At 42.5% G+C, this 10,718-nt stretch overlaps 1 protein-coding gene across 43 annotated transcripts in view; it reads right to left on the bottom strand.

Annotated features, from left to right (window-relative positions):
* Positions 1-10,718, bottom strand: part of TRMT11 (tRNA methyltransferase 11) — a 285,804-nt gene that overhangs the window by 213,688 nt on the left and 61,398 nt on the right. For 7 of the 43 annotated variants that reach the window (XR_007059316.1, XR_007059317.1, XR_007059320.1 and 4 more), the window contains exons 15-16: positions 10,391-10,455; positions 5,466-5,533 (exon numbers count right to left, since the gene is read on the bottom strand). The exons of 33 other annotated variants lie outside the window; for them this stretch is intronic. The gene's annotated coding sequence lies outside the window, so the exon portion shown is untranslated. The remainder of the gene's footprint in view (positions 1-5,465; positions 5,534-10,390; positions 10,456-10,718) is intronic. 3 more of the 43 variants (XR_007059301.1, XR_007059299.1, NR_146804.2) reach the window with 1 other exon arrangement.

Raw genomic sequence — 10,718 nt, 5'->3', positions numbered from 1 at the left:
AATGTTTTCAAAAAACCAGCTCCTGGATTCATTGATTTTTTGATGGGTTTTTGGTGTCCCTATCTCCTTCAGTTCTTACACTGTTGGTAGGAGTGTAAATTAGTTCAACCATCGTGGAAGACAGTGTGGCGATTCCTCAAGGATCTAGAACTAGAAATACCATTTGACCCAGCCATCCCATTACTGGGTATATAACTAAAGGATTATAAATCATTCTACTATAAAGACACATGCACATGTATGTTTATTGCAGCACTGTTCACAATAGCAAAGGCTTGGAACCAACCCAAATGCCTATCAATGATAGACTGGATAAAGAAAATATGGCGCATATACACCATGGAATACTATGCAGCCATAAAAAAGGAGGAGTTCATGTCCTTTGCAGGGACATGGATGAAGCTGGAAATCATCATTCTCAGCAAACTAACACAGGAACAGAAAACCAAACACCGCATGTTCTCACTCATAAGTGGGAGTTGAACAATGAGAACACATGGACACAGGGAGGGGAACATCACACACTGGGGCCTGTCGGGAGGTGGGGGGCTAGGAGTGGGATAGCATTAGGAGAAATACCTAATGTAGTGTCGGGCTGATGGGTGCAGCAAACCACCATGGCATGTGTATACCTATGTAACAATGCTGCACATTCTGCACATGTATCCCAGAACTTATATAATTGAAAAAAAAAAAGAAAAAGAAAAAAAGAAATACCACTGGGGAGATGGAGCTGTCTAGCTAAGCCTTCCAATCCTTGCCAGCCCTTTAGCAAAGCTGCTCTAATAGAAAGACTCTGAAGACAAAGGCAATGAAGAGGTAATCTCTTAGGCCATTAGGTCTTGACCTAGGTTCCTTGAGCCCCAGTGCTGTCAAAATGCTAAAACCAACTCACACGCAGACGCCGTGTTTGACGGACTGAAGGCAGTGGTGTAGATGACACATTTTCTGTGTTTTCCTGAAGACTAATTACCGCCTAGGCAGAAGCATTTTAACTATTTTAATGGTTGCCAAACATATTACAAAGCTTCTGGTCTCAGTGAATTTCAAGCAACTTATTTAACCAAGCCTGTTTGGTTCATTGGACAGAATGATTTCTCCTCAAATTACAGAATTATAGTGTTCAGAGCTCTGATTTACATTCAACACTGACCATAAAGCCACTAATCCATTCCAATCAATAGGGTACTTGAAGTTTCTCTAGACATCCCCTAATAGGGCAGCTAATACAATCAGTGCCTCCAGCCAAATATCCCACCATAATTCATCGACATTGATTTTTCAAAAAGTACTGACTTTTCCCTAATACAGAGATAAGTAGCTTCAAAGATAACCTAAGACATAAGAATTCAATTCAATTCCTGGCATCAGAAAATCAAGACAACCATAGACACCATCAGATTACTTCTTGCCATGGAGGACTAGGTGAGAGGAAAGAGGAAGAGAGGAGAGCCGCAAAGGCTTGTCAACCTTGAACTCTCTCCCAGAAATCCTGCAGCTTTGCTCAGGCTGCTTTGCAAAAGAAAGATAATGCTCAAGACAAGTTTATTATTTACTGGGCCTCTGCAAATAAATAATTGTCACTTAAAAAAGGAAGAAACATACAAAAGGCATAGGCTTAGGGTTCCTTTGATAAAATTGCACCAGAGTTCACTGAACAGAAGGACATTGATCCCTTCCATAATTACTGCACCAAGAAAGCCTCAGTGGGCCCAACCCAGAGCTCCTATCTCAATAGACACAGCTTTGGGGCCAGGTGGAGGCACACAGAAGTGAAAGCCACGTTATCACCGTTCTTTGCTTCCTATCTTCTGTGGATAAAGAAGGGCTCCAGCCCCCAGCTATCAGGCCAGTTCCCCTTCACACATGCACATTTAACCGCACATCAGAGTCTGCATTCCTTCCCAAGCAAAACTTCCTCTGAAGTAAATGGCAAGCTCTGCCTCAAGGAGGATGGTGACATCAGTCCTGAAGTAATAGCCTTACAGCAGTCTGTATTTTCTCCCAACTTTCACGCCTGGCCTAAGTCTTTACTTGATGGGAAACCACTCTACAAACAAGAAAGGAGTTGAGTAGCCCAGGAAATAAGCTTCAGCTGACCCCAAAGGTGGCCAATCAGGAGGCTGCAAAGGAGGTCACATTCTTTGCTTAGGTATGCACCTAAGAGAGGCTACCGCTTCTGGCTAGGTGATGGCAGAATTCAAGAGAGGATCTGAAAACTGGCAGAAAATAAATCTACCTTTTATCCTTCCCTATTGGCCCAATAACCTCCCCACATCTCAGCAGTGGAAGCTTTGAAATCAAATAAAAGGACTTCTTGGGCAACATCTTGAACAATTTGACTCCTTACCATGATTCAACTCCTCGCCTAATGGATTTAGTTTTAGGCTCTGTGTTTTCTCTTCCTTAGTCTTTATAACCCTTATAAACTTTTCCAAATGCATTCATACAAATCATCCCAATAGTTCTCATTCCAAGAGAGATAGCTAAGGAAAGGTTATTATCTTATGTTAACAGTGCGAAATAAGACAAAGATGAATTCAGAGCTGTCCTGGGAGGACTGGGAAGGGACATCTTACTCCTGGTTCTTTGCTTTTGCCATTGTTTCACATGGGTGCTTCAATGATGGCTTCACATTGGGACTCTCTTGTATTGTTTGACATTGAGCTAAGCCATCTGTGACAGTGGTTGTCTCAAGGCAGGGAGCTGGGTGTCTCAGAGACCCACGAGAAGGAGAAGAAGAAAGAGGGAAACTTTTCATTGGGTATACGCTTTTGAACTGTTTTGAATTTCAAACCATGTAAATTTATTGCTTATTCAAAAAATTTAAATAAAAAGCTTTAAAAATGGACTATAGAACTTTATAGAACACTGAGGAAGCATGAAAAAGATGGCTGTAGAACTTTATGGGAGGAAACATAAACAAAGAAACGGGTTTAGTCATACAAAGAAATCGTATATACTAAAGGGAAAAAACGTCAATTCCTTTATGATCAGATGTTGCACCCCATAAAACCTCTCTGCCCTTCCCAATCTCACCCAGTACGTCATCCAGAGAACAGTGTATTGAAAGTGGTATAGTCTTGTTTTTTATTTTTTATTTTTAAGTGCCAGAGTTTGGGACTCAGAATAAATGAGTTCTTAACAATTTAACAAAAATGAGTTTAACCAAGAACTGTGTACAACTGTTCAACATAAGACATGTATCTTTTATTCATCTGATGTTCATAGTGGTTGCTGGCTGGCATATGCCAGGCATGCAGTAAATAGTGAAGGAGAAGCAGGCAGGGAGTGTTAGAGAAAACCAGGCGGGCCACAAGCAAGGGCTAGAGGATTCCATGCTGTCCTTCCTCTCATCCTCATTAGTAATGGGTTTTTAAAAGGTCGTAAAGGCCAGGCACAGTGGCTCATGCCTGTAATCATAGCACTTTGGGAGGCCGAGGCAAGGGGATCAGTTCAGCCCAAGAGTTCAAGACCAGCCTGGACAACATGGAGAAACCCTGTCTCTACAAAACATATAAAACTTAGATGAGTGAAGTGCCATGTGCCTGTAGTCCCAGCTTCTCAGGAGGTTGAGGCGGGAGGATTGCTTAAACCCAGGAAGTTGTGGCTGCAGTGAGCTAAGACTGCACCACTACACTACAACCTGGGCTATAGAGCCAGACCCTGTCTCAAAAAACAACAAAAATGTTCGTCAGCATATGGTGACTCAAAAAGCCTGGTTGCTCTTGGTAAGAATCTTCAAGGAAAGATGCGAAAGAGACGTGTTGGGAGTTCTGAGCTGTTTTCTTTCAGGGAGCACCCTGTGTCTCAGAAGACAGCAGAGTGGGCTCCAAGGTGAAGTTCTGAAATAGGCAACAGTGCTTGAATCACAAACTATTTTTTATTTATGACAGATTCCTTGAGGTTGATCAGTAAAATATCCTTTATGTATATCACCAGATTTTAAAATCATGACACTTCAACAGCTCATTTGTCTTGGAGCGGAGAAGCAGCTCCCTGAAACAGTGTTTGTATTTTGCCTTGGAGATAAGGACAAACATGAGCTGGCAACCCACAATCTTTATTTTCATCAGCTTGCTCTTCAGCAGGCCTACACCGTCAGCACTGTGTGAAGAGCGAAATCAATAAAAATCATCTCCCTCGGTGCAGGAGGCCAACATGTGACTGTTTCTTGGCTCTGGAGCAAGTATCTGTCAGTCAGGGTCAGGAAGGTTTCTACTGTACTTATCTGGGCAATCTCTTACCACAGTGTAACTGGGCACCTAGGGGGGCTCTATAGATGGGGAAATGGAAGCTTTGTGGTGTCAATGCCTTAATTCAAGCAGCCTCAGCTATGCAATTCACCCAACTTAGAAGACAGCATTAACTGAGACCTAGAACCAAGGCAGAAACAGACCCTGGAGCAAAGGCAAAGCCACAGACTCCCTCTTTACAGGCACCCTTTGTCAAGGAACTCAAGCACTTCAGCCAAGGACACCATTTTGAAAGAAATTAAAACTTCCCAAAGAGCCTTGGCATTACCAAAGGGGAGAGGAGGTCACAGGGAGTGGGCTTCTCCCAGAATTAAGTGCAGATTCTGCAGCAGGGCGTATGAGTCCTTTAGGATCTGGCTCTCATGACCTGTCCAGCTTCATTTCTCCTCTTTGGCTAATGCATTTAGCTCCTGGCACACCAACTAGTTGAACTGTTACCCAAATATGCTTTTCCAGTGCTATTCTCTCTGCCTGGAATCCCCCTTCCCGCCCTCACCCCCTGACATGATCACGCAACTTCCACTTCTTTAGGGGTTAACTTAGATGTCATCTCTCAGGCTTCTTCCTTGATCCAGTCCTCTCTCACGTGTTTTTAAATGTAGGTTTTATTATTATTCAGGTATGGTGAGACCAACAGATCACAAGACAATTTTAATTGAAAAGACAGTTTGTTCCTCGAAGCTCTCGAGAGGACACACCACGCCATGCAGGGCCATGTGGGGAAGGACCAGGGTCGTTCAGGAGGCAGAGGGGAGGGGAAAATGTGGACAAGAGCCTTTATTGTGGTTTCCAGAGGAAGGAACAGGTAAGGCAGGATAAGCAGGCATAGGATTAGCTAGTTTGAATAATCTCAGCAGGCTCTGGGGTATAGGGGTTGTCCCTAAGTTACCTGGTACCTGGCCCAAAAGTGATTAGGTCTGAGAAATAGTGACCCAAAGCATAAAAGCTGTATAAAAGAGGAAATAGAGTGAGTGGACTCTGGACTGTTTAGTTTCTATAAAAGACACACTTGAAGGAAGGTGAAACCTTTATCTCTAGGAATTGGCTGGTTCTGGTCTCTCCAGGGTCAGCAAAGCCCCAGATGTCAAAACATCAGAAACACATGGTTAATACACTACCACTGTTAGAAGTGGCTAGGTGCTCCTCTTAGACTCACACTGGGCTTGCCCTGTGGAAAGACGGATCACACTATTTTAACTGACTACTTACCTCTTTGTTTCATACCACCGCCATCCTCCAGACCATGAGCTCATTGAGGATAGGACTATGTCTAATTCCTTGTTGAGAGGCAAAAAAAAAAGGACACAGAGATGAACTTGGTACACTTCAAGGTCTAGCCTTAGGTTCCAATGCATCAGGTGACATCCCCCGCCATAGGAGCAAGTCTTCTGGGCCATTTACCCCTAGCAGAAATGGGTCAGGTCTTCCCCAGAAAGCTGATTCATCACACAGCACCAGTCCTGCCCTTCTTGTTTCCTTAGGAACCCACTTAGGATCATGAAAGAGCTTCTCTTTGGGTTCAGAAAGACAGACTGGAGGCAAAAACATGGTTCTCCTGTTTTCAGGTTCTTGATCTGTTTCTCCAAAACTAAGAGAGAAAACAAGCTAACAAATGCAAGATCAAAAACTAGATCTTTGTTCATTTATTTTGGTCCAAAAGATAAGACTGTAGACTTAAATGTCATCAGACCTCATGACTTTCCTGGCAGCATTTCTGTGTGAAGCTTTTAACCAGTCAGTTTAATCCAAATTAGTAGGAGCTTCAGAAAAGGCTTTTGGCCGGTCCACAGGTGGAAAGACATTGTCATGAGCTCTGCCAAATGCATAAGGATATATAAAAAGGGGGGCAGAGGGAAATTGGGATTTTTTTTTGGCCAAGCATTTTTTAATAAATTAAAAAACAAATGAAACCCCAGATTTAATTAAAAATTTCCCCATATTCTGGCCTACTCTGTAATTTTTATGTTGCTGCCTGAAAGGTATTATGTAGTTACTTAATAAGAGAGAGGAAGGGGAAGTATTTTTAATTTTAAAGGATGAGAGGAAAGGAAAACCCTTTGGGTTTTTCTTTTTCTGCGTCTGGAGCCCAAACAGCGGCAGCCTGCGTATTTCTTTAGCAGGTTTTTCTTAGAGACAACTAACAACAGCTTATCAATTTCTTTACATCCTAACTCTACAATGTAGCTCACTAACTTATACGGCAAATAGAGCACGTCCACCCATCCAGTTTGGGCAGAAGCACATCACCCAAAGCCAGTGTTATTCTCGCAGCTTCAAGTGGCACAGTGGAGAAATTTTATCTCATTAAGTAATTCTAGTATAAATTTCTTGTAATAAACTTGGAATGGCCTGATCCAGTCTCAAGAGTATTGGGTCATGTCAATTCTCTTTGCCAAATATATATATCATGCTGGGGGAAAACGGCACAGAAGGAATCTTGGAGCTGTACAATGTGTCTTGACTCAGTGGTTTTCTGTTTGTTTTGTTTTGTTTTTTGTCCCATACAGGGATCTTCTGCTTCTTGCATAAGTAATCATTGCCTGGCTTTGCTCTTGGATACTCAAAAGCCTGCTATGCAGTTCTTCATGCTTGTACCATAGGCTCCTCTTGTTCAGGATGTCCAAACCTAAACTCATCCTTTTCCCATTATCATCTATTCCAGTTTGTACCCACTCAGTGCCCTAGCTGGAATCTCAGATATCATCCCTGACTCCTCATCTGGTTCCCAACTACCAGGACCTGCCTGCTCACTCACCTTCTAAATATTTCTCCATTGAATCCCTACTACCACTGTTCTCTAACCTGGATGACTGCATCAATCTTCTGATCAGCATTCCAGCTTCTATTCATATCTACCTCCATGACAAACCACTATCATCAGAGTGATGGCCTGACCAAGTCTGATAATATGGCTTCCCTAGTGAAAATCCAGGGTAGGGGGAGTGGGTTAGTATGCCCAAGGTAATCAAGCAGAAATGCAAACCCCTTCCTGCCTTACTCTCTGACTTTATATTGTTGATCCCCAGTTCACACTTCAGTGACCATGAACTGCATGCAGTTTCCCTACATACCATGCTCTCTATTCCTTTGCTATGTCCTCTGCCTCACACATCATTACCTCCTCCCGGATCTTTCCCCAGCTTAACCTGGCTAACTACTACCTACCCTTCCAAACTCACTTCAGGGATGGTGCTGTAGGGATGTCCCTGTGTAATTATTCATTAAACTGTACTTATGCTTTATGCACTCTTTGGTATAAATAATATATCTCACAATACAGTTATTAAACCCAATATAAAAACTTCAAAAGGCAATTCAGGAAACACCTCCTCTTGGAACCATCTCCCACGCCCCAGCCCCAGGGCAGGCTGGATTCCTTGCCTGCATGTTCCCATAGGGCCCCCTGTATCTCACTGCACTTGATGCCTTGCTAGGATTATTTATCTCTACAACTACTGAAGGTTCCAAGCTTCTTCCAGGTAGGGATTATCATTTCTAATCTTTGACCCTGTAGTGCCTAGCATACCAATGAGGACAAAATATTTGTTGAATGAATGAATAGATGAGTAAAATGTCTTCCATCTGTCTCTATTGTCTATTCCCACTGTTGGTTCAGATTCTCACATGGACTGTTTATTTACCTCCTGGCCTGTCTCAAACACATCCTACACTCCATTGCCAAAATCACTTTTTTTTTTTTTGAGACCACATCTCACTGTGTCACCCACACTGGAGTGCAGTGGCATAATCACAGTTTCCTGTAACCTTGAACTCCTGGGCTCAAGTGATCTTCCCACCTCAGCCTCCTGAGTAGCTAGCACTACAGGCATGTGCCACTACACCTGGCCCATTTTATTTTTGTAATTACAGGGCCTCACTATGTTGCCCACGCTGGTCTCGTAATCCTGGCCCCAAGTGATCCTCCGGCCTCAGCCTCTCAAAGCTCTGAGAATACAGGCGTGAGCCACTGCAACTGACACCCCAAATCACCTTTCTGAAATCAGTCCCTATTCTCAAATCTTTAGTCCCATGACAACTTTCTATTGTCTATTTTTTTTTTTTTTTTTTTTGAGATGAAGTCTTGCTCTGTTGTCCAGGCTGGAGTGCAGTGGCACAATCTTGGCTCACTGCAACCTCTGCCTCCCAGATTCAAGCGATTCTCCTGCCTCAGCCTCCCAAGCAGCTGGGATTACAGGTGTGTGCCACCACGCCCAGCTAATTTTTGTATTTTTTAGTAGAGATGGTGTTTCATCATGTTAGCCAGGCTAGTCCCGAACTCCTGGCCTCAAGTGATGTGCTCACCTCCACCTCCCAAAGTGCTGGGATTACAGGCATGAGCCACCATGCCCAGTCCAATACAAATTCTTTAGACTGACATTCAAGGTCTTTTGCAACATGACCCCAGCCTACCTTTTTCAAAGTCCTTTCCCACCATCATACACATGAACCCTTCCCTCTAGTTAAGTCTAGTTAGTACCTATCATCTTCTGAACTTGACTCACACATTCTCACATCTGAACTTTCCTCACACTATTCACATAACACCCCCAATCTGAAATGTGCTTCTTTCCTCTCTCCACTTAACTGAATTTTTAAAAAATTTGTAATGTTCTGGCTTAAGCACCACATCTTCTGTGAAATCTTTATTAAATATTCTACTCTGAAGAAAATTCTCATCCTTCCAAACTCCATTGAGGCTTCTCCTGTGTACTTAATTCATTCTACTTTGTGTTAACTATCTTTTTATGTGTAGGTCTCATCACCCCAACCAGACTATAAATTCCTTTGTCATTATTTAAATCCATGCATGGAACTCCCATAGACATCAACCAATCACCAATAGACAAGCCTTAGAACATGTATTACAGGAAAAATAGAGTAACACATACAACTAATACAGAGGAACAACAATTGACATTAAAATAGAAAAAAAAATTAACACTCTTGGAATCTATAGAAAAATGTAAAGAGAAAGAAAATTGAAGATAATACGTCAACTAGAATATTTATTTGCCTGCTTCAACATCAATAATAAAGCATACTAGGTAAAGTGGTCCTTTTCAACCGATTGTTACAACTCTCTCAGGTGCTGGTTTTGGAAAATCTTCTTGGCCTGAGACTCAAACTATTAATCACCAATTGTCTGAGTTAAAACCATCAATTAAAAGACTTATGCATCCCACAAAGAACAGAAGACTGCCCTGTTGAGAGGTAACTTTGGAGCAATGTGCTGAGTCTTTCTGTGAAGGTTTGGTAAAGGGCTGCCAGAGAAAATATAGAACAAATGTAGAGCAAATTTCAAAGCTCATAGATTCCAGATGCCTGTGGATGGCAGGAAGTATGGAAAGTCTGTCAAATGTCTTGACTGTAGCCCATGATTGAGTGGCTTTAGCAATAAAAGGCGTATCATTGTCATACCAAATGGTCCAGAAAGCCAAACACATGACACAGATTAGTTTCAAGGGCCAAAGTGGTGTGGCTGGAGTCAAATGATTGCACTGGAACAGCAAGCCTGTAACCTGAGAAAGTGTCAATAGTATTCATGAACAACCAATAGCTCTAAAGAGGGGTGGAGGAAGGTCTGAGGTAATCAATCTGCCAGGAGTAGTGGAGACAACACCCCATGCAGTGTGTTCGTCCTTACCAAGAGGCAACAAGGTCGACTTTTGGCAGGAGTCACAAGTCTAGCACCAAATGGTAGCCTTTGCATCAGAAACATCAAGTACTTTACTTGTGTCCTGTCTATAACAGCGGATGTGTTGCCATGTCCAGTACAATAATGGATCCAGGCAGCAATGATGGCAATCTGGATGGTGCTAGCTAACCGAGTGATTCTAGCTGGTCTCATCAGAGAATGAGATTTTAAAATGGATGTCAATATGAGTGACCCCGACAGTTCTATCAGCCGCCACAATTTGTTTCCACTGTTTGAAGCCCCTAAGGAAGGATGTCTTCAATCTGCAAATCTCTACTTTTCCAAGTGGTGGATCAAACCACAGGTCTTTAGCAACAACCTAACAGTCAGTAAAAACATAACAAGGCTCCTCAAGGAGGGTATTGGTCAGAGCTTTGAGAATGGCCTTGAATTCTACTTAATGACCAGACCAACTACTTCCATTTTCAGTTCTGCTTACCTGGCACTGAGGTTGAACAGCCATTGCAGTCCATTGAAATGGCACTGGTTTTCAGCTTAGCCAATCTATCAGTGAAAGAAGCAACAGGCATTTTGAGGAATCTCCTAAATGCCACCTAAATGTATTTTTAAAGCCCCTATATGTAACCTTTATGAAACAAGGGTGCTGAGCCAGGGGCTTTGTTTCAGGCAGCAGAATGGATGATAAAGTTTTCCCCCAAAGGATTAGCTGCCACTTTTTCATGTAAATCCAAGATGTCATTGAGGGTAGGTCTGTTGCATTAATGATTATTACATATAATGATTTTATATGACAAGCAAGGCTAGTT

Source organism: Homo sapiens, chromosome 6, assembly GCF_000001405.40.
Source record: "Homo sapiens chromosome 6, GRCh38.p14 Primary Assembly".
Taxonomy (NCBI): Eukaryota; Metazoa; Chordata; class Mammalia; order Primates; family Hominidae; genus Homo; species Homo sapiens.
This window is presented reverse-complemented; position numbering and strand designations above follow the sequence as displayed.